This window comes from Homo sapiens, chromosome 6 (assembly GCF_000001405.40).
Source record: "Homo sapiens chromosome 6, GRCh38.p14 Primary Assembly".
In the NCBI taxonomy this organism is placed as follows: Eukaryota; Metazoa; Chordata; class Mammalia; order Primates; family Hominidae; genus Homo; species Homo sapiens.
In genome coordinates, this window is record NC_000006.12 from 85,595,832 (window position 1) to 85,621,226 (window position 25,395).

A 25,395-nucleotide genomic window follows, 5' to 3' on the forward strand; every position below is an offset into this window, starting at 1 on the left:
AGGAAATTCTTTATGGCAGAGAATTTCCACACCTAAAGCATGAAACATAATTCAATTTCTGTCACTACGGACCTCATCTAAGGAAATAACCTTTATTTCATTACATGTCTTTAGCCTATGGTCTAGAACCCACCTTTACACGCACAGAGCTCGAAATTTTTTCCCCAACCTTGTTAAGTTCTGAACTTTGGAGAGGTTATATGGAATATCCACAATCAACCAACCCTGGTTCTGAAACTAGCTCTATCTCCTACTAGCAACATGTTAGCAAGATTAACTTGATCTATCTCACTCCTACCTCAACTCTAAAACAGAGCTATTTTCATAAAACAGGTGGGGGGTGGGGGCTAAAATGGGTGGAAAGTTGGAAAGTGCCTCTTAAATATCTCTGTACAATGCTTAAGACAAAATTTTTTTTTCAAATTTTATGGCTTTATGAACATGACAATAATGAGCTAAACCAATTAGCTTTTATTTGGATTACGACAATCTAAAATGAAAATGACATATTAAATACCTGATTTCTAGGAAAACTGAGGTCCAGAAAGGCTGACTGCCTACGCTAAAGTTCTACATCTGCACTGTCCAATACAATAGTCAGTAGCCACATGTGGCCAGGGAGCACTTGAAATGTGGTTTGTTGTGATGTGTAAAGTACCTGTCACATTTCAAAGACTTACCATGAAAACTGTATTAAATGTAAATTAAAATTAGTTTTAAGGCAATTACATATTAAATGTTTTGGAAATAATTGCCTTAAAGTATTTTTACTTTAATGTAGCTAGAAACCTTAAAATTACATATGTAGCTTGCATTATATTTCTACTACACTGTACTGTTATAGACTCTGCTAGCTGTGGAGAGCCAGTACAATTAAATGTGTAAATCTTTTATAAATGCTACAAAGGTCACATATGTGCTAGGTGTACACTGACAAACTATAAAAAGTTAAAAATTTGATAATGCATTTAAAGGGCTCATAGACATTAAACTGCAATCCAGTAATATGTCCATTATTTTAATGAATATATTTATTGAATAGCAAATAAGTGTAAGGCACTGTGCTAGATGTGGTGGCAGATACATTTAGATGCATTTTTTTCTGACCTCCAAAGGCTTACAATCTAGTGAAGCAAACAAGTCACATAAAATGTTATAAAGGGCAGCGGTTTTATACATAAAGACTGTAATCTTTTTTTTTTTTTTTAATGACAGTTAATGGCAAAAGGGAAATTTTTAGCTATAAGGATCTGGAAAGGCCTGTGGGAAATAATGTGAGCGAAGAATAGGACTTATCTCTGTTTTCACTTATAATTTTCAAAAGTCATGAAGTACTAGGCAAAGTTTCCAAAATGCTTCTACTTAATTTAACCTGATTCTCCCCGCCACACCAGCAAAATGCTTTTTATGTTGGTACAGTAAGTTTGCAAGGTAATGATGAATACCTGAATTGCAGAAATTAGGCCTAAACTCTGATGACCCTTAATGTAAACCACATTTTAACGTGTTGAGGGTCATTATTTGTATGGCACAGGTATATCGGGAAGAGGATGGATATACTACCCCTGGGAGCCATTTCAGTCTCTCCCTTACAGATGCCTCCTATCACATGACAGGCATTTTCAAAGCCCTGTTTTTCCCTTGTCTCAAATGATCATGGTTTATATTTCACCTTTTGTGGCATCCCTAATGTTATTTTTACATCCTTAATTTTACATTTCATAGCACCCTCTTCTCCCCCACAACCTATCCCTACATATCAACCTCTTGATAAACCTGTTAAAGAGGCCACTGAACTGCTTTCTTCAAAAAATGTTCCTTTCCTTGGTTTTCAAAACAGGAATTTATTACAATGGAAAATATGTAATTCAAGGAAGAGGAACATTAAGTAATTTTTATGAGTGGAGGGTCTGAGATGTTCAAAATGCAGTTATTTTCACATTCAACCCTCTTTTATTTTTATGGCCATGAGGTAAAACCTCCATTGGGAAAATACAAAGAACTAACAATGTTATAGAGCCAGTGGCTCAACTACAGATACTCCCTGGGTAAAAGCCATGTTTTGATCATAAAATTCTGGATGGTCTCATTATCTTAGTACCAAAAAATTAACCATTTCATATTTGTAGTCGTTTTTCTAATTTATGATGAAATAGCCATCCTCTTAAGCCTCACTTTTGGAGAAGCAGGAAGCTACTTATAATTTGAGAAAATGTAAATTAATAACTGCTTGGAAACGGAAAATATACTCACCTGTTGATTAATATTAACGATTAGAAAAAGCACTTATAATCCAACATCACCTTTCTCTTGTAGGCCAATGCTTTTGTTTACTTTTTAAATTACCCCTTAAATAAGTAAAACACTCCATCTTATTTCTGAACTACAGACAATGGTTTCCTCTCATTAAAAAAATGTTAACTGTATCCCTTCAAATGTTTAAATACACATTTCAACTGACTTCACTAACTTCATAAAATATTTTGGAAAAACTTTGCAATCCTTCTTACCTCTCACAAGCTATTTCCCAAAACATAAAAATTAAAGCTCTTCACTGTTGTCCTAAAAACCACCATGCAACCAGGCTTGGTTCAGAACAGTGAAAATCACTAATATTGGTACTTCAGCTCTTATTCTACTAGTAAGGGTTGCTACCAAATAATTAAAATCAATTTTTACCTTCACTAAAAATAAACTTTTCCTCTTTTGGCAAGCTGATTCCAGAAAATAAACTCAACGTAATATATCTAAGTATAAATCTTGAATAATAATTTTGAAAATTTTTATTGTAAAATTTCCCTTATATATTCAAAGACAGTTACTATTTGAATTTTTCTTTAACTCATATGAACACAAGATTCTAAAACAGTCTGAATTTTTAGCATTATGTCCTAGTCAATTTTGTGAAACAATTCAAGATATATTCTTAAGTACTCAAGACAATTAAGAACTCTGCTGTCCCCAGATGTTCAGAGAACAGTTCTATCACTTCTATTTTTAGTTAAAAACAACAAAAAATGCTTATAGTTAAAAACATCAGCTTTCAGTTATTTCTTGTGGCTAAAAAGAAAGCTTTAAGAATGCTCACAGAAACACTGATGGCAGAACTAGAGCAATTTTTGTGGGGCATTTAAGCTGCTTCACAGTTAAGACACCTAGGACAAATTATCCCTATCTAGATAGTCCCTTGCAAGTACTGAGTTTTCAAATGTTAACATAATTATTTTTTAAATTGGTTTAAATCTATTTACTCTTCAGCCTCTGCCAAGTTCCATCGTGTTTTCTACTATGTAAAGCAACATAAGAAACTATTACTTACCATGGTGGAGGAAAGAAGATTGTAATTACCAGATACACACTGCCAAAAAAATTGTAAGGGTAGCAGCAATAATTTAAATGATTCTGAAGGTTCCTGCTATTGCAAAGCATAGAAATATCAGATTTTCAAATGACATCAGATGTTTTAAAACTGTGGCTTTCAGCCTAGGCAACATGGTGAAACCTCTCTACATGAAAAAAATCAACAACAAAAATTAGGGGCCAAGCACAGTGGCGCATGCCTGTAATCCCAGCATTTTGGGAGGCTGAGACGGGCAGATCACTTGAGGTCAGGAGTTCCAGACCAGCCTGGGCAACATGGTGAAACCTCATCTTTCCTAAAAATACAAAAATTAGCCAGGCATGCTGGTGCGTGCCTACATTCCCAGCTACTCGAGAGGCTGAGGCAGGAGAATCATTTTAACTCAGGAGGCGGAGGTTGCAGTGAGCTAATATCATGCCACTGCACTTCAGCCTGGGCGACAGAGCAAGACTCCGCCTCACAAAAACAAAAAAAAAATTAGCCGGGTGTGGTGGCAAACACCTGTGGTCCCAGGCTGAGGTGGGAGGATCCCTTGAGCCCCAGAGGTCGAGGCTGCAGAGAGCCGAGATGGTGCCACTTCAACCCAGCCTGGGCAACAGAGCAAGACCTGTCTCAAAAAAAATAATAAAAGTATACTTTTGCTCCTGAAGTTACCTTTAAGCAGAGGCTGATAAATTTTTTGTATCACAAACCTATACCACAATAAAGGCTGGGCACAGTGGCACATGCCTGTAATCACAGCACTTTGGAAGGCTGAGGCGAGCGGATCACTTGAGGTCAGGCGTTTCAGACCAGCCTGGCCAACATGGCAAAACTGTCTCTACTAAAAAATGCAAAAATTAGCCGGGCATGGTGGCACGTGCCTATAATCCCAGCTACTCATGAGGCTGAGGCTGAAGATCGCTTGAACCCAGGAGGCAGAGGTTGCAGTCTGCCGAGATTGCACCATTGCACTCCAGTCTGGGTGACAGAGCCAGACTCCGTCTCAAAAAAACAAAACCAAGAAAAGAAGAAAAATCAGCTAATAACCTTATTTGCCCCAGAAGGCAAAGCCAAGACTTTTATCTTAATGTTCTCCAAACTGTACTTGTTCCTCAGGGATAAGATGTTGGTAGTTCTAATGTGCCTATAGTAAGATGATTTTAACCTATTTTGGTTGAAGAAAATGGGGCAGAATTCAAGACATCAGAAGCTGTGAGATGAGCCAAAGAAACACAAGGCGGGCAGTTTCTTTAGACAGTATTAATGGAAAATTACACTAGAAGGATGAACTGGGGCCAAACTATAAAACTTTAAATTACATATGTGGTTTGCATTTCATTTCATTCAATACTGTCGTAGACTCTGGAGCTAGATGTAGAGAACCAGCAAAATTAAATGTGCCACTTAGTAGTTTAACTTATTTATAAGGAGTTATGCCAGATCGATCTGAACTTCCTAAAGGACTGGTAGTACCTGGATAGAGAGGATATTTCAGGCCTCTTCAAGTAAATGATCAAATGTGACTGGATATGAAGTGAGAAATTAATGAGACAGTTGCTGATGGAGAAGAGCACTTGAATGTGTTCAGGAGACAGCTGAAATGCAGAACTGCAAGTAACAGACATCAAGCAAGCCCTGACACTAAAAGAGGAGTCCACACAGATGTGATATGGGACTGTAATGTAGATGTGATCAAGGAAACACGTATACAGGGAAAAAGGAAAATAAGAATAGGTAAGGATAGATGATGAGATAACTTGGCAAATTGCCAAGATTTTTCAAGGTTAAGTGAATGTAATAAATGCCATAGGGGTTAAATCTTTAAAATATATAATTTTCATATGGGGACACTGGTATCCTGTGAACAACTCTTGAAAAGAGAGGAGGCCGGGCGCAGTGGCTCATGCCTGTAATCACAGCACTTTAGGAGGCCGAGGCGGGCAGGTGATCACCTGAGGCGGGAGTTGAGACCAGCCTGGCCAATATGGTGAAACCTAGTTTCTATTTAAAATACGAAAAATTAGCCAGGCGTGGTGGCTGTAATCCCAGCTACTTGGGAGACTAAGGTGGGAGAATCACCTGAAACCGGGAGGCGGAGGTTGCAGTGAGCCAAGATAGCGCCACTGCACTCCAGCCTGAGTACAACAGAGACTGTACTTAAAAGAGGTATCATTCCAAAACCACCAAGCTCACTAGAAAAGGTGCAATAAGATGCTTTACTGATAATTAAATATGTGGACTTTCAGCCTAAAGACAGTTTACTTGGGGAGTCACTGGTAATCAGAACACCGATGCTATTTTGGACTATATGGTGGTCCTGTAATTGTTAGAGAACAATTATTAACATAAATAAAATCTAGGAGGTTGGTTTAGCAGTTAGACTGTTTTGTATTTACTTATCAGGTTCATTCATCTATTAGCATTGAGAATTTTGACTAGAATTTCAAAACTAAGAAACTTAGAATAAATGAACACCTATTCTAAAACTTTTTAAAATGGAGTTACTCCCACAAAAGTAGATTCATGTATTAGCTAACATCTATGTGATTCAGGTTAACTCCCAATTCATGCATTAACATGGTAATTTAGGGAAATTTGGGAATAACTTGGAATAATGCTTTGTGGACTAATGAGAGCTTGATAGTTTTCCTCCTCAGAATATAAGAAAATATATGCTTCAGTGTTAGCTTCCTCAACTTTCAAGAGTCATATTTACCGTCTTTCCCTCAAAGAGCTATCACAAAAATAATGTACCAAATGTTCATACATGTAAGGTATTACAGGGTGAAGTAAGTCTACTTTTTAATGCAACATTTATTCTTTTGTGAAAATAAATCTCCACATAAAAGCATGAATGAAATAACGTCAAAAGTCCTCTAGGCAGAATTTTCCCAAAAAAAAAAAAAAAAAAAAAAAAAAAGACACGATCCTATAAATCCTGTATTCATAGGATATAATTGAGAGCTGGAAAAATATCTTTTTACAAGAAAACTCAGGCTCAGAGAGGCTAAATGTTTATACGTAGCTGCTTCCATTAAATGGCCCAATGACTAACAGATTTTCAGTGTCTCATCCAGAACTCCTGAAAAGACTACCTAAGTCGTTGAAATGAGGAAACTACATTAATGCACAGACAGCATTTTACTTCACCAACCTATACCTTTGTAAGTATATGTGGAAAATAAATATACAAGCCAGATGAGGCTTGTTAGAATGGGAAAGCCGTATGAATAAAAGACACGAAGGTTAAGAAATTAAGAGCATTTTATGTCCATAAATTTTAACTAAAAGATCTAGGTCTACTGAAGATTTATTTCCCTCTTTAGTTTCCTATTATGTGTGTATATATATATATGAATGTATGTACATTTTTATGTGTGACTGGCCAGATACTGTTACCACTGAAAAATTAGCCAAAATTAGGCTGGGCACAGTGGTTCATGCCTGTAATCCCAGCACTTTGGAAGGCTGAGGCAGGCTGATGGCCTGAGGTCAGGAATTCGAGACCAGCCTGGCCAACATGGTGAAACCCCATCTCTACTAAAAATACAAAAATTAGCTGAGCAGTAGTCCAGCTACTTGGGAGGCTGAGGCAAGAGAATCACTTGAACCCAGGAGGCAGAGGCTGCAATGAGGCGAGATCTCACCATTGCACCCCAGTCTGTTGACAGAGCGAGACTCCGTCTCAAAAAAAAAAAAAAAAAAAAAAATTAGCCAAGATTGTTGGTACCAGAAACCTTTCAAGTCAGTTTCTTCCTTGGTATCAGCCAATATTTAATATCACAAAACCTAATTAAGAACTGTTTTGATACCTTGAAGCCAAAGTGACTCAAGAAGTTTGATTTGTCTTTATGTAGAAAATCAAACTCCCTAATCACCAGAGTTGACAGAAGTATAGAATATATTCCAGAAGTAAATTAACATGGATTTTCATCAAACCCCAGAACATCAAATCTGGAAAGTAGGTTTGAGATCCCTGCCACAATAAGGAATGAAGTTTCATTACCTGCCAAAAATTTTGCCTTGCTGAAAATAACAAGACAGAAAGACAAACTGTTAAATATAATGGGGGAAAAAATTCTCATTGGTTTAGTTTTAAATGTTCAGAAACTAAATGTGAAAACATTTTCTGAACCTATTTCCAAAAAGGCCTTTCAGGCCAGGTTAACAGTGGCTCACACCTGTAACCCCAACACACTGGGAGGCAAGGCAGGAGGATCACTTGAGCCTAGTTTGAGGCCAGCCTCAGCAACATAGGGAGACTTCATCTCTCCAAAAAATAAAAAAATTGGCCGGGCACGGTGGCTCACACCTATAATCCCAGCACTCTGGGAGGCAGAGGCGGGTGGATCACCTGAGATCAGGAGTTCAAGACCAGCCTGGCCAACATGGTGAAACCCCAACTCTACTAAAAATAAAAAAATTAGCTGGGTATGGTTGGCAGGCGCCTCTAATCCCAGCTCCTCAGGAGGCTGAGTTGGGAGAATCACTTGAACCCAGGAGGCAGAGGTTGCAGTGAGCTGAGATCATGCCATTGCACTCCAGCCTAGGAAACAAGAGCGAAACTCCCGTCTCGAAAGAAATAAAAATTAGCCAGGGATGGTGGCACACATCCATGGTCCCAGCTACTAGGAGACTGAAGTGGAAGGAGTGCTTGAGCCGGGGAGGTTAAGGCTGCAGTGAGCCATGATTGCACCACTGCCCTCCAGCCTGGGCAACAGAGACCCTGTCTCAAAAACAACAAAACAAAAAAGGTCTTCCAAAATAATATGCTTTTCCCAATTAAGAATGTCACTAAATTTGCATCCTTAGTCACAAAATGTCCTCTATGTACCTGTTCTCTTTCCAAGTAAGACTTACTTTTCCAAGACAATATATTTTAAATGAGCAGTGATATGGAAGTGATAATACAGATTAAGATTTCTCCTAATTCAGGAGGTGGCACCATGCTACTGTGTTTTACTACCAGTTCTATTTTAAAACTAGCACCTTTTATACTAAGTTGCACAATTTAGATACAAAAGATAAATTCATATTCCTTCATACAAAAGATGAAGAAATGAGGCTCATATTAATTTTGCTACAAACAGCAGGAGCCACTTTCCATGGGGGGGGGATGAGTGGGAAGGAAAAAGCAAGACCTCCTAGTTTGTAGGAGTGAAAGGGCTGAGACTTGACAGTGGTAAAATTGCTTTTAGGGTCTACCTCCCTCTCAAAGTTTTCTTTTCCTGAGTAACCTGAGAGCAGTCAAAATTCCTGCAATTGAAAACTCTTCTGACACTGGAGAGGGTACCCTACTTGCCTCACTACTCCCACGAAAGCTAAAAATAAAGGCTATTAGTCCTCATTTTCTCACACACACAGAACGTGCAGTAAGCCATGTCAGGAGACAAGTCAACACCAGTTTTCCTAATATCCTTCTTTGATAAATATGAAGAATCACCAAACGTCTGAGGAAATCAGAAGCACAAAGAGAAAACTGATGTGAACTAATATTTCAATGCACCATATAAGAAACTGGTAACTTAAAATTTTCTAGCATTCAAGAGTGAGCAAGACTGTGCATATATAAAATAAACTGCTGTGATGGACAAGGATGGGCAAGTACATTATATATGTTGTTTTGCCTCTCTTCAGTCTAGAGGCAAGTATAAGGTAATCAGTTGTAAAATCTTATAATCCTGACTGTAAGAAAGGAAGGATACCTAACAGGAAGTGGAAAATGAAGGAAAAGAAAACTACTCAGTGTACTATTTCCTTATCTTATGAGAATCAGATTCTAAAATTCATATAAGTAGAGACTTAAGTGTATTTCAAGTAATAAACGTAACCAAGAGACCAGGCACAGTGGCTCATGCCTGTAATCCCAGGACTTTGGGAGGCTGAGGCAGGAGGACTGCTTGAGCCCAGGAGTTTGAGGCTGCAGTGAGCTATGAATGACAGTGCCACAGATTTCCAGCCTGGATAACAGAGCAAGACCTTTTTTTTTTTTTTTCCTTTGAGACGGAGTCTTACTCTGTTGCCCAGGCTGGAGTGCAGTGGCGCCATCTCAGCCTCTGCCTCCCAGGTTGAACCTGCCTCCCAGGTTCAAGCAATTCTCCTGACTCTCCGGACTTTTTTTTTATTATTATTTTTAGTAGAGAGAGGGTTTCACTATGTTGGCCAGACACCAGGCTGGTCTGAAACTCCTGACCTCAGGTGATCCGTTCCCTGGGCCTCCCAAAGTGCTGGGATTACAGGCATGAGCCACCATGCCCGGCCAACCGTTATCTCTTAAAAAAATAAAATAAATTTTAAGAGAGAACTAAAGAGAGGAGGAGATATCTGGGAGTGGACTCCATGGAAAGGTCCTTCTAGATTTTAAAAAATCAAGTTAAAACATCAACTAAGCATAACATAAATACCACTTTTACTCACACTACTGATATTAGGAGGTATATATAGTATAGTGAAATAATACGTTAAATTCAGAGCCTCACTATTCAGGTTATTGAATTTCAGCTACCTATCAATTGGTAGGTAAATATAAGGCTATTCATATGTATGTAACCATTTCTCTAAGTTACTTTAAGATAGAGTAAGCAATATACACTACCCTCGGAAACAGGTGCTTTCAACACCTCATTTTTAGTTATCTAGGCTTCATGCTTTTTCTCAAGTATCATTATTCCCTCACCTTCAAATTGCTATGCAAAAGAACCTTATAAAAACTTTAGACTCAAAACCAACCAGACCCTCATTAGCAAAACAGTTCCATCTTGAAGTACCCCCTCCTCACCTCATAAAGAACTTATAGATAGGGGGCTTATAAATTGATACTGTCTTGTTCAGCAGCACAAATTAAACTACACATCAGCATAAAGGAAAACTGATCCACTGGATTCTGTTAAGTTCACTGCTAAAGATGACTTATGAGCACCCTTTTCCTCTTAATTTCAAATAAGGAAAACAGTCACTTACACATAGGGTTATTTTAACATATAAAAAAATCTGTAAGTCACTAGGCCAACTGTTCCCTCAACTTAAGACAATTTTATAATTTTTTAAAGTGTCACGTTGATAATTTAAATGTGGATCTTCATCTTAATTTACTTAAATCATTAGCACTTTGTGATCATTTTTAAAAGCTTTCCATGCCATAAATTAAATGGTTCGAAATATTTGATCCCCTTTGTCAAATTCTCATGTCACAAGCCTAATTTGGCAAATAAAACTAAACTTCCACCCAACTGAACATTTTAAATATTTTTAAATGCCTGCCTACTCAGATTTCCCTGCCCTTCGAGGAGCTTCCATTCTAAAAGGAGGTAAAATAAATCAAAGAAATTTATCATAAAATGTACTAGTAATTTAAAGACTAATCGATAGACAGTAAGCAAAAAAGGGAAAAATAATACTAACTACAGTATCTGCTTGCTGTGCCCCTTTGTTGATCCTCTCCCAAATGCTAAATAAATCTCCAGGAAACCAGAGATCAACTAGGATCTGTTACATGACAATTTTACAATAAAGGCTGTCTTTTAATTCCATGTTTAACTGTACCTGTAGTTAGGCAGGAAACCAAAAGGGAACAGAACCTGTCTTTAATACTGTTGAAGAACTCCTAAGAACTTAATTTCTGCAAATTCATGTGAATTTTTACTATTTCAAGGAAAACAGCAAAGGAGGTAGAGGTATGAATGAAATTTGCCAAAACTACACTGTATACATGTGGCTCTAGAGTGGAAATGAAAAGTGTATTCTGCCATTTTTATAGATGACCTTTAACATTGTTTATTTCTGGTTTTCCTCTAAGTATATTCCAAATATTAAATAAAACTGAGAAATACAATTTGTACATATGCTTTTCTAATTTTTCATGACGTGTTAAACTAAAAGCAACTGGAGGCCTAATTCCTGAGTCTTCCAATTAAAGCAACCAATTAACATAAATACTGACATATTAAAGATATTCTCTTAAAAATGATGTCATAAGGGTTTTAGTATACAGATGCACCTAGCTTTAGCAAATTTGTGTTTAAATGATGCAGTACTCATGTAACACAAATGCCATGTTATTCACATTTCAACTTAAAGTTAACACTATTAACGAGCCATAACAGGTATGCTGGAACTCTTCTTGTATATCATGGTGTTTCTATAATTACAAGACCTAATTTTACCATATGGAACCTACAAAACTCTTTAACAAATTTCTTATTGTCAGCAAGCCCTGGTCTTATTCTTTAATCTGTGGTAACAACTTGTCCACACCAAATACTTTGCCCTTCTGCCCTGAAAACTCAAAAACTGCACATCAAAAATGATATAAAACGCCAAATCCCTTAGGTTTCCTAAAATTCTCTCCAAAACAAGTTGAGTTTGTCACAACAATCTCCTTTTCAGAATACAGCTGAAAGCCTAAAAGAAGGCAAGAAATGACAATTCATAAACATTACAGATAACCTTTATAACTCCTTTCTAGATTAGAACCTGTTGTAAGCCACTTTATAGACAAAGTAGAAAATCAGACAGTCAATTAAGTTTACAGTATATTATCCTAAAATAACCTTATTTTGATCCCACTGTGTTAGAAACCCATTTTAGGAAGCTGTAACACTTGGAGACACTAATTTCCAAAATGGTTTATTAGGACTTCTCCCACACTCAAAGTCAAACTTCCAGGACTGTTCTGAAATGATGAAAGCTTCTTTTCGATAATCAATATAAATGTTGTTAATCCAAAATAGAAACTAAAACCTGCACTAAGTGACCTAAAAAGTCTTGTCCTGATGGAAGTGGCCAAAACTGCTCGTCCCGCAACCAAGAAATCCTAGGGGTATAAGCTAAAACCCACAAATATATTGGCAAGTCCCCGATTCTTTCCAAATTACCACTAACTTTATCAAATCCAATGGCAAGTACGGGACAACAGAATATTTCCATCAAAAATTAAGACCAGCCTAATACATTTATTCTATTCATCTTCCAGTAATGTGATTGCAACTGAGGATATCTTGAGGAATTTTTCACCATTGGCTAGTTACTTCGAATGTATGGATAATCAAAGGGCGACAGACCTCTAAAGATTCCAAGTGTCTACTTAAAAGCTGTTAAGTGAAGAGTGATGAATTGGAGGACACCCACAATAATTCTTGGACTCCTGGAGATCCTAAGACATGCTACAAAAATAGGTCTTTATTCTTAGGAAAATATAGTCAGAGCTAGCTTCCTTATGCTATACATAAAATCTTAACATCAGAGGCAGTACAGATAGTACAGATAGTTTTTGAACTGATCTCCAAACAAGCACAAACCCACTACGTTGAAAAGAACAGGTAATTTGAGGTTTTTGGCAAAAGACAGTACTTCACACATCTAATCCAAATCAAAGGGCCTGCAGACAGTTTTCAGTGAGATGAAAGGAATGAAATAAATATAAATTCTACGGATAAATAAAACACAATTTAAATAAGCTAACAGAACTAATTTTTTTAAATAAAAATACTAGTCAGGTACAAGCTTTTGTTTCTCAATGCCAGACTTCTAAATATTTACCAGACTACTGTTAATATTAAAAACCTAATCTTTGACCCAGAGCGTTAGTAATAATACTGGTTTGCATCTGCAAATTTTCAAACTGAATGCTTCTGGTCCTGAAAAATATTTTAGGTGTATTACTGAAGGCAGACTGTGGTGCTAATAGAATTTAAGTCTTAAATACTTTTAAAAAGTGACAGACCCCAAAAGTCCATCTACTAATTTGCTAGTTAAAAAATGCCTGTGAGCACTGCTTCATAATTAGCATCTTAAGAAAAGTAGTGGCATGCCCTATTGAGTGGTATCATCACTGAGTAATTAATACACCTTAAAACAATATCCCCACAAGTCTGTTTCTTTTATGTATTTGTCACTTAATTTCTTTAGTCATTAATTTTACACCCACCAGTGAATTCCTATGGCCAGATGAAAATTTTGTGGTATACATAATTAGAGAGAAAATGATCATGGTGGGTATTCCTGTAAGTTTGACGAACTTGAGAAGTTTTAGCACCCTCCCCTAAATGCATGAAGCCCTTCTATTTAATTTCTCTCCTTAAAATAGAGACTACGTAAAATACTCTGTAATAATAAGGGATCTTTTGCTGTTTCTGACAACTTTTGGCTTCGCAGTCAAAAAAGCTGTTCTGAATGTGTCAATTTTTGCCTATCTAGCTTGATGTTCATTCTATTCTTTAAAAACTTTTATATACAATAACTCAGATCACCCCATCAATCCATTTCTATGTTGTTCCTATTTTATCATGAGGAAACTTTACATTTTAAGTCAGATTCACAGTAACTGGTAGAAAAGTTTCTTAAGCTAAAAACTGCAATCATGAGTGTACAACAGTTGTGTGTGTGCACACTCAATTTTCCCTTCATTTTTAACATCTGATTCAGTGGCAATGGCTGAAAACCTTCCACAAAAAGCATGCTTGGGAGAATATATCTAACAAAATTTTCTCACAAAGCAACTTTCTGAAAACTGATAACCTAAATTTATGATCACTTTTGATTGCCAAGTAGTCTGCAGAAACAAAATCTTGCGTCTGTTTTGGTTAGATAACTTAAGTTTTCTTTTTAACATCAGAATGCTTTAAGAATACATTTTTTACCCCAAGGAAGGGACTTGACTCGGATTTAAGACCCTTTCCTTGACAATATACAAAATTTCTTTTAACTTATCACTGTCCATTCTTTGAAGCTGTCAAAGCCAAGAACCCATAAACAAATCACAAATAGCAATAACCTACATTAGTTAACATTCCCCCTTTAACATGTTGACATTTTTACTAAAGGATTAGTTATTTTTGCATTTCCATTTCTCATATCCCATGACATTCCATATAAATTGCATTATTGCTTTATAGGCCACACAACATTCAAAAGTATGTTTATATGCATTGCCTGTTTTTCCTTGATCTGATAAGACTTTGATACTGATTTTACTACAGAAATTTAAGTTTGAAAATACCACAGTTAGTATTTCTTCTCAGAACGTTAATTGTTCACATCACTAATCACTACATGCATATTTAGCTCTGATTATATTGCTCAAAAACTGCACCCATTATCAGAACAGTGCAAATGATATTTAATTTTAAAAGTAATTATAATGGCTTGAATTCAAAGTCATTCAAATGAACACTGTCAAGTAATTTCACTTGATGTGTATATATTTCATCACCACTGTTTACATTACCCTTCTTTAAGTATAACCATCAATTCTTCAATTTCTTTTTATCAGTTTCCCTCCCAAGTCCCCAAATTAAGAATGCCAAATAGTCTTGAAAACCCAGAGCTCCATATTTTAATGTTTTCTTAAGAACACATTTGTGAACTCACAAAAGTGTTCCTCTTTCAACTTTGACAATGCAGTTCTTACTTTAAGTAAACAAACCTGTCCTAAAATCCCAACAAGTAATTCTGAGAACTTAAACACCTTGACAGTGTCCCTTAAAAATGCTATGACAGTAAAGTGCCAATAGGCATGGCAATGACCTCTTAGATGGGATCATTTAACTCCTCGGAACTGAGAAATGCCAGCACCAAGGATTACACTGAGATTCAATTTTACTGAAGGCTACATTTAGTTTACCCACTTTCCACAACCTATTATATTCATTATGTTAGAATGAAATGTAAATGTTTTGTGTAGCCCTCAAACTTACACTAAGTTTTGAGAGAGATGTACTTTAAAAAAGCACGGGGTAATATATAAAATCAGTGGCAGAAAGTTTCATTAAGCACCAGGAACTAATTTTTGTCACCCCATACTCATTTTGTAGATAAGTTTCAATAACCGGCAAGGCACATTTACATATATTCCAATGAATACTTATTGACAAATTTTAAATTACACTCTATGTCCCAGCTATCCCAGTAACTGACATACAACATACTAAAATGATTTATTTAGATAACAAAAAACCAATTAATGTGAAACATACAGGCTATTGGCAACCACTATTCTAAAATTATGTAAGTACAAATAAACATACTGAAATGTGTGCAATTCTAAGTTTTTAAACCAGAAGATTTCTACACTAACACACATTTATATTAATGACACATAAAAAAAATAAAAACTTTATTACAAAAATAAGTTACACTCGCCTCCAGCTTACAGTATAAAACAATTTTATTTGCAGGAATGCAAAATGATTGTTTGCCATGAGCATTTTGAACATATGACATGTCTGATTTTCTTGTTAAATTTGCATTTACTGGGGAACTGGTGTGTATAAAACCTTAATTAAGTATAAGCTCTGATCTTCATCGTGGTGCCTATTGGGTATGTGATATAACTGCAGTATCCCTTTGGGGAAGGGGGGAGGGGATTTCTTTACACCAAGTCCTAATGAAACTATAATTTTCACTTTTTACTTTAAGCTATCAACTTAGGACTTGGCAAAAAAATTTTTGAGGGTGGTTCAATAGAGGATGCTTCACCACTGGACACTCACTGTCATCAAGGTGCTTTAGAAAATTAAAAACATAGCACAAATGATTGTACTCTACTCTACAAGTTATCATGACCTGCATAAGAAATGGAAAGCTGATTCACATGTTTACAGTGATCAGCAGGAAGAAATGCACTAATGAAACATACCTTTTACCTAAAAAGCTAAACTACAGCCATATACTAATTTCTATGATTTATGAAAAAACTTCAAAATATCCAAATGTCAGGCTTCGCTGTACAATTGTCAGTTTTAGTCTGACTTTTTATAAAGGGACACTGCAGTATTTAGTACAAGTTCGGATGCACTTTTTTGAACATCTGATGTCTTACAAAAGTAACATCTTGCTAAACTATTATACATCCAAATAACTACAATATCTGAAGAAGCAAGGCTGCTTTTTCAGCCACAAAATACGACAAAAGCAAGGCCTGTTATGATGGTCATGAGGAAGTCTTACAAGCCTCTGAAACTAAAGGCAACTAAGAATGTTACATTTGGTATATTAAAATCTTACCCTCATATCATATTTAACAAGCCTTGCTTTTATCTACAAAGATTTTCTATGTACAGTACAGACAGGGTATAGTTCAATCCTCTGCTACTGAGGTAGTTAACCAACCCTTTTAAAAAGGTTCTGAAAAGAACCACTATCTGGAATGCCTGACTAACCAGCTCTGATGATTACACCTGAAACTGCATATCTGAACACAATTCAAAAGTGATCACTATAAAAAAGATATAGACAATCATGATTAACCTTGGTGAGCAGAAATAAAATTTAAGGATACCATCAGTGGCATTCATCTATACCACTGCAATAAAATTTAAATGCACAAATTCAAGAGAATATTTCAAAATACCACTGTTGGGATCCTTAATTTAAAAAAGGGGAAAAATCTACTTAGAGCAGATTTTTAAAAGAACTTTATTCTTTATTAAGATACCATGCTAGGAGTTATGAAGGATTTCTGTTGGAACACATTTTGAAAATAGAGTAGCTTTAGTTTAATAACTTGCACTGCAGAGAAAATTGTTAAAGAAATTCATATCAAAGTCCAAGTATTAGTTCAATGTCCCGTATTTGATTCCATGATCTTCATAGGAAGGTCTTCTGCAATAGAATATGCTCCTATACAGCCGACATATTTAAGGTTGCTTGATTTCCTTACCATTACTCCACTGCAAGCTTCTGGTGTAATCCCACATAGCAAGTCAGTCTTCATTGTAACAGGTCAGGACCGGCCTCGACCCCTTTTCCCTGCTAGCCAGGTAACAAAAGGAATCAGTTAGATAAATCATCTTAAATTAATAATGTGTACATACATAATGATAACATTAAAAAGACAAGCCTTAACATGGTAATTCTAAATATACTGTCTAGCCAAAAAAGTTGCCTTTAATAACTATGAACTTCTTTTTGCTTGTTTTTTACTTGCTTTGAGGTTTTTGGTTGCTTTTTTGCCCCTTTGAGTGAGGAGGCTGGACTGAGGTTTGAAAACCCCATTTTGTTCACAAACTGATTTTATTTAAAAAAAAAAAAAGACTAACAGGAAACCTAAATGAAGTCACACCTTAAAGTTACCCATTAACTTGCAAGTAATTCCCATTTTTGAGACATGAAGTAATCATAAAATATGCTGAAAGCAAACATCTCAGACTTGTTTGACCTTGAGATTTGAAATTTAGTGACATTTTTAAGAAAGTTTGTCTTTCAAGTCATGTATTTTTCACATGTAACTTTATTGTCAGGTATAATACCTTTAAATTCAAGGGTGATGGAGGTTCAGAAGTGGGGAGTGGCTGTTAAACCTTTTCACTGTTGACCTAGAGTCTGTCCCCCAAAACTCTAACATTTTCCCATCATTACTGTTAGAAGTATAGACCATATGGCCAAAACAAGACTAAAATGTGAAACAAAAATCCAAACTATTAGATCTTTAATACAAACCAGTCTGTGAGGTAAATTTTATCCTTCAGATATATATTTGCTTACCCAAAACTAACTGTAAAGCTGTTTTATTTTTAATTAGGTAAGTACAGTGATTATTTAGAGTGCAACTCACAAATTACCCAAACCTATTCCCATTGTTTTCACACTAGAGTTTCTTTGCTGCTTTCTAGTCCCATGGTGTGCAAAACAGTCAAGAGGGCAATATACTCAATCTGAGTTTTAGGTTAGTTAGGATAAACTTTAGGCAACTGAAAGTGGACTTGTCAGTGTGACCTGCAAACCCTTTGAGACTACCTGAATTTGTCCTTTTATACAGTTCATTCATCACAATTAAGAACTCTAAAATACTTACCAACTTAAACTTACTACATGTATTATCTTTTTATTTTTGATGGGAACATGAAGTCTGTTGTAAAATAGCACTTTAAACCAGAAGCAGAAAACTGCAATAAATCAGTGTTGTGTAATGTGCAGACATATTCCACACAAGAATTAACAAGGCACAAAACCCTTTAATTGGCCTTGACATGCTATACAATTTGAACCAAATTTGCAGGAAATTTTGTGAAAAACGAATTGTAAACACAATTTTAGTAAGTATACATTTAGGTGTGAATTTTTTATTGAAATAAACAACAGCATAAAGAATACAAGTAGCCAAAATGGTTTTGAAAACCCAAATTAGGTCAAAGTTCTAAATTAAAAATAGCAGTTGTGTATCAATTTACCTTATTCTAGCAATTTAAGTTGGTAACATACAAAGTTATTCTGATACAAGATATTAAAGACACACTTGGTTTTAATCAACTACCTTTGAAGACACCAAATCTAAACACTACTGGAAACATCGTTGACACTACAGCCAAATGGACTTGAGCCAAATTTTCTCAAGCACAAATGCAAACTCATTAACTATTTCTTTCAGTATCTAAGAATATCTTTATTGAAAAAAATTAAAAATAAAATCAGTTCGCCAGAAGCAGTTAGAAGTGTGGCTTTGTTCGTGTCCAAGCGGATTGTTAAAATATATACATAAAGGGAAATCTTGCCAGATGTCACAAATTATAGCGGCACCCGTTCAGATTTAGGGTGAGTTTCTGATCAACCTATCAGTCTCCAATTTTACAGAGGCCCTACTGTTTCTACTTCCACTGTTGCCCAAAAGTATCCTGATAAAACTCCTGGTTTTCAGATTTGTAACCATAGTTACCAGAATGATCACCACCTTGGAGCGGTTGCTGAGCAATGGGTTGGGAGCCCCAGTTCTGATTATTGGTCTGGCGCCGCTTGGAATCTGGCTGGTTGTACCCATCAGCTTTGCGCTTTCCTCCTACATTTCCACCGCGGCCACCCCTCGCACCACGTACCCCGCGGCCTCTTTGTTGTTGGGCACCTCCTCTCGCACCTCGAACGCCTCTTGCTGATCCAGGACCTCCTCTCTGTGAATAACCGGCTCTACCGCGGGGAGGAGCAGCCCCACGACCTCTGGATGGAGCAGCACCCCTTGCTCCTCTACCACCCCTTCCTCTAGCTCCAACTTGAAAATCTTCATAACCATAGTATGGATCTTCATATCCACCACGATAGTTATGGTAATCATAACCATAATAATCATAATAATCTTCATATCCATAATAATCTGGAGGATATCCATAACCACCTCTACCTCCACGCCCTCGACCTCTTGTTGGAGGGGGCATATGAGGTGGACCATAATAGTAGTAATCGTCATACCTATTAAAAAAGAGACAGAGATTAGAGTTTAAATCAAATTACTTAGTTAACAAGTAGGCATTTAGCCATTTGTAACAGTTTAAATCCAGAGTTTACTTCGCATAATTCACATAACTTTAATACAGAATTATTTGTACTAGATTAAGTTTTAGTAGTAGTAATGATCAGAGGATCAGGATGACAATATAGGCATCCCAAAATACCACAAATCTCTAGTTATGAACCTTATTTATTTCTTCATGATCTTCAAAATCTCCCAATAAACCTGTTACAGAATTTTTACAATTGATTTAGCTGTCAAATTTGCCACTTTAGGGCTGGGAGCGGTCATGCCTGTAATCCCAGCTATGCGGGAGGCTGAGTGAAGCAGGTGAATCGCTTGAACCCAGGTGGCGGAGGCTGCAGTAAGCCAAGGTCACATCACTGCACTCCAGCCTGGGTGACAGAGCGAGACTCTGACTCAAAAAAAAATTTGTCACTTTGAATTGCATTTCTGCTAAGATTCTATTCCAATATACTTGAAGAACATTTATTACAAAAGCAAAATGGCAAGTAGGACAAGCACACAACCAAAATGTGTGAAGTTCAAAGTTTACTACAGTAAATTAGCATAAAGACCTTAAAGTTTTCCTGTTTCTACAATAATGCTATCCAAGTAAAATTTAAAAGATCTGCTACTTTCCCAAAAATAAACTACACCGTAACTATAGTGCTGAACTTTAACCACTAAACAGGTATAACTTTAGTTGTCAAAGTGATTAGAAAGCAACCACACAAATCAGCATATGCTTACATACTATGTAAAAGGACTAAACGAAGTTACAATATTCCAACTCATGTTCCCTACAGTACAATTTTATACAATTCCTTAAAACTTAGTGATTATTTTGAGCCCAATAATCCCATGAAATATGGAAATTAATCCCTCTTGAAGGAATAATTTACTCGTGTTTTTTATTCCGTACCTGTTATGTTATTTTATTTATTTATTTATTTGAGACACAGTCTTGCTCTGTCACCCAGGCTGCAATGCAGTGGCGCAATCTCACCTCACTGCAACCTCCACCTCCTGGGTTCAAGTGATTCTCCTGCCACAGCCTCTCGAGTAGCTGGGACTATAGGCATGTGCCACCATACCTAGCCAATTTTTATTTTTAGTAGAGATGGGGTTTCACCATGTTGGCCAGGCTGGTCTCGAACTCCTAACCTCGAATGATCCACCCACCTCGGCCTAGAGTGATCTGCCCACCTCAGCCTCCCAAAGTGGTGGGATTACAGGCATGAGCCACCACGCCCGGCCTTATTTTATCCTGAATTATTAAAGGCCCCTGTTCCAACTGACTAACGTAAAAATGTTATTCCGGTTCACTAGGTCCTTAGACCTTTTATGTGCTCTGCTGGTTTATTGTTTTGAGGAAATGATGGAAAGATCATCCTTTTCTATTTCTAAATAGTTCTCACCAGGGATAATTTTGCCACCACCTCTTTCCAGGGGGACATTTTAGACGGTCATAACTGAGAAAGGGGGTGCTACTGGCATCTAGCAGGAAGAGGCCAAGGATGCTGCTAAAAGTCCTACAACGCACAGGGCAGCCCCCAAGACCAAGAATTATCCAGCCCAAAATGTCAGGAGGACAGAGATGAGAAATCCTGGTATAGTGGTTAAGAGGGAAAATTATGGGAGACTAGACTACCTTAGTTCAAATCCAACTCCACTACTTACTATGTGAATGACCCCAAGGAAGTTGACTTCTGAGCCTCAGTTTCCTCATTTCAAACTAAGGGATAGAGTACCTAACTCACAGGAATACAGTGAGAATTATGTAGGAATACGTGCTTAGTTAAAACTTAAAAAAAAAAAAAAAAAGACTGTAGCAAGTTAAAGTACGAAAGTAACATGCAATCATCCCTTTTAGTTTGTACTCCTTTTCAAATATTAACAGATATACTGACATCCTCCACCTTCTATTTAGTATCTCCCTCTATCAAGTACCAAATGTAACTGCTCTAATCACATTATCTAATATAATCTCCTATACTTACATTCTACTTTAATAAATTAACCATATATCGTCTTCTGAAAGAAATAAAAAGAAGTTATTTTACACTGTTTAGTATATCCAGGTGTTTGAAATATAGAGCATTAAAACTAACTCTTTTTGTAGTCTTCCTTCATTTACACTATCATCAAACCTACAAAGTATATTTTCTTTGGTCCCAGAACAAGCATGGGTCACTTGGATAATCACATAATCCAGAGCTATTACATAATTTTGTCTGATCCCATTTTAGAACTGAAGAAATTGAGGTTCAGAGCTTGCCAACTTGTCCAACTGGACAATTAACTGCAGAAACTAGAACTTGATCAATTCCCTGATTATGAAGTAACAGAAATATGTAGAAGCATCCTCTTCCTTTAAATTCCAAACAGGGCAATCAACAGAAAATTAACCTTGAATAGTATTGACAGTGATTATTGCTCTCACATTCAAGAACAATTACCCCTCTTCTAGGAAATCAGTAACTAACTTTTTAGGAGCTAACTTCAATTCTTACCCAACTAAGTTTCCTTCAGTCTTAAGCAGATACCTATTTACAGATTCTCTAAAAAGGTCTCCCTAATTAGTATAACTCATTACACACCTACTTGTTTTCTTATTGCACTACTGTGTTATAATTTTAATACTCATTTCATTTTCAAAATCCATCCATCGAACATGAAATTTTTGGGGTGGCAATGAGCACTACTGGTGAAGAAACAGTCTATCATGAATAGAGATTTAGTATTTCCTATCTCTCAGAGAAAAAACTCTCCACCCTTTAACAAAATGTATTAAGATATTTGGACAGCTAATATTTAAGACATTTTCAGAAGAACATTCTGTAAAATACAAAGAAAATATGTGAGATAGGCCAGGCATGGTGGCTCACAGCTGTAATCCCAGCACTTTGGGAGGCAGAGGTGGGCGGATCACCTGAGGTCAGGAGTTTGAGACCAACCTGGCCAACATGACGAAACCCCACCCCTACTAAAAAAAAAAACACAAAAATTACCAGGCATGGTGGCGCCTGTAACCCAGCTACTCAGAAGACTGAGGCAGGAGAATCTCTTGAACCCGGGAGGTGGAGGTTCCAGTGAGCCGAAAGAGTGCCACTGCACTCCAGCCTGAGTGACAAAGTGAGACTCTGTCACCCAATACAAAACAAAAAAAAAGCTAGACAGATTTTTCATCTTGCCAATTTACCAAAATTCCAGTTATTTACAATTCTGATTATTTTCACAAATATGGTTCATAGTAAGAGTTCAATAAACACTTAGATCACTGGTGTTTCCCTATGACTCTCAAACGTTCAAGTCTTCTTTAAAGAGATGTTATGCATTTAACAAGTCTGATCAACACCTGTTATTTTCCAATTAGTGTATAAATATTAAAATTTATACAATTTTTAAGTATACAAATTTCACTCACATTTGATTTTTTGCTGCTTGCCTCTGAGCTTTTCTTTCTTTCCTTTTCTGATCTGGTGGCTTGGCAAAAACAATTTCAATATTTTCTCCCTCCAAGTCTTTGCCATTCATTTCTTCCATAGCCTTAAAAAATTAGATAAGTCAATATAAAAATAGGACTTTCATACAATTATGATTCATTTAAAGTTGGAATATCATTTATCATTAATGTGGGAAGGACAAGAGAAAGCCCCATGCAGGCAGTCAAATAATTTTATTTAAAGATGCAGATATTCAATTATTTTTCATTTTTACTTAGAAAACTGCCAACATCACTAAAACCAAAAGGTTTTAGTTTGAATGGATTCCATGGACTTCCAAAGTCTCCTCCAATTTGTAAAACTATTTTGAGATTCTAAAATGACTAAATTTGTTAGTCTGATTTAGATGCCTGTAATTCCACCATATTTACCTTGACAGCACCATCTCGCTCATCAAAATGAATGAACGCATAATCTTTTAACTTCTTCACTCGTTCCAGTTTCCCAAACTGACTAAATGCCTTTTCTAAAATCTCTTCTGTTACAGTATTGGCAAGGTTGCGTACAAACAGCACTTTTACCTAGGGGGAAGAAAATACCCCCCTGTATTATTTCCAAAGAGTTCCATTTCTAAGATACCACCACCCCACCCTACAAAGTTAACTCAAATCACAATCCATTAGAAGAATGTCAGAATATAAAAAAAAAAAAAGTTTTCAACTCCTTGGGTAAATATCAAGCAGCAGAACTGCTGGATCATGTTGAAAGACCTGAAATAGATGCTTTGCCAAAAAAGATATACAGATGGCAAAGAATCTCATGAAGATGCTCAATATAATCTGTCATTCGGAAACCGCAAGTCAAAACTATTAGAATGGCCAAAATCCAACACACTATAAATGCAGGTAAGAATGCAGAGCAATAGAAACTCTCATTCATTGCTGGTGGGAATGCAAAAGGGTATAGCCCCTTTGAAAGACAGTTTGGCGATTTCTTACAAAACTAAACACACACTTCCATATGACCCAGCAATCCTGCTCCTTATTTACCCAGAGTTGAAAACTTACATGCACACAAAAACTTAGAGAGAGATGTTAATAGCAGCTTTATTTGTAACTGCCAAAAATTTGCCAGACGCAGTGGCTCACACCCGTAATCCCAGCAATTTGGGAGGCTGAGGCGGGCAGATCACCTGAGGTCAGGAGCTCGAGACCAGCCTGGCCAACACAGTAACACCCCGTCTCTACAAAAATACAAAGATTAGCCGGGTGCGATGGTACGCAACTATGGTTCCAGCTACTCGGGAGGCTGAAGCATGAGAAATGGTTGAACCCAAGAGGCAGAGGTTGCAGTAAGCCGAGATCGTGCCACTGCACTCCATCCTGGGTAACACAGCGAGACTCTGTCTCAAAAGAAAAACAAAAAAATTTCCAAAAATTGGAAGAAACCAAGATGTTCTTCAATGGGAGAATGGACAATTGTGGCACATACAGAAGGAATATTATAACTGATAGAAACTAGTTAAAAGCCACAAAATGACATAGAAGAACTTTAAATATGTATTACTAAGAGAAAGAAGCCAATGTGAAGGTTACATAATGTATGGTTCCAACTATGTAACATTCTGAGAAGGCAAAACTATGGAGACAGTGACTGCCAGTGGTTGAATGGGGAGGGATGACTAAGCACAGGACAGAGGATTTTTAGGGCAGTGAAACTATTCTGTATAATACTATGATGGAAACACGGTTATACATTTCTCCAAACCCACAGAACATACATCTAGAGTGAGACCTCATGTAAACTATGGACTTTAGGTAATCAATCTACGTCCATCAATTTTAACAAATGTACTATTCCAGTGCAGGATACTGGTAGTGAGGAAGGCTGTGCCTGTGTAGGGGGCAGAAGTCATATGGCAATTCTGTGCTTTCTGCTGTAAACCTAAAACTGCTCTAATGAAGTCTATGAAAAAGAAAATGCAGACTACAGGCTACATCAGTAATAATTACCAATTAGTAATTATTTTGCAATAAAAAAGATAATTTTTCCTAACAAAGTAAATACCATGCCCTCTAAGAGAGTTATTGAATGTTTAACACTTAACAAGAGTGGCCAAAACTAATTAGGACCTGCTTTTGAAATCTTAAAGGGGGAAGGACTGTTCAAAATATTAGTAAGACAAACTGTTCTCAATCCTGAAAGCTTCTCAAAGTAAAATTACAAAATTTAACCTCTTCACTAACATTATCACTTCCTCCTAAAATAACTTGAATACCATCTGAATGTGTTAATCTAAAGTGCTAACCCAATGAGAATTTATAGGCCAGAGGAAAAATGAATCCTAACTATTTTCTCTTCTCTAAGACCACTTATCCTTCAATAATATT

General features: G+C 36.6%; 1 protein-coding gene across 16 annotated transcripts in view; it reads right to left on the reverse strand.

Moving 5' to 3' along the window:
* Positions 11,953-25,395, reverse strand: part of SYNCRIP (synaptotagmin binding cytoplasmic RNA interacting protein) — a 36,087-nt gene continuing 22,644 nt past the window's right edge. For 5 of the 16 annotated variants that reach the window (XM_017010178.3, NM_001253771.2, NM_001159673.2 and 2 more), the window contains 4 exons: positions 23,437-23,586; positions 22,987-23,108; positions 19,150-19,516; positions 11,953-17,092 (listed from right to left, as the gene is read on the reverse strand). In XM_017010178.3, the coding sequence (XP_016865667.1) occupies positions 17,051-17,092; positions 19,150-19,516; positions 22,987-23,108; positions 23,437-23,586 (681 nt within the window). In that variant the 3' untranslated portion in view covers positions 11,953-17,050. Of the gene's footprint in view, positions 17,093-18,144; positions 19,517-22,986; positions 23,109-23,436; positions 23,587-25,395 lie in introns of those variants that run through there. The other 11 variants (XM_005248637.3, NM_001410938.1, NM_001159675.2 and 8 more) reach the window with 4 other exon arrangements.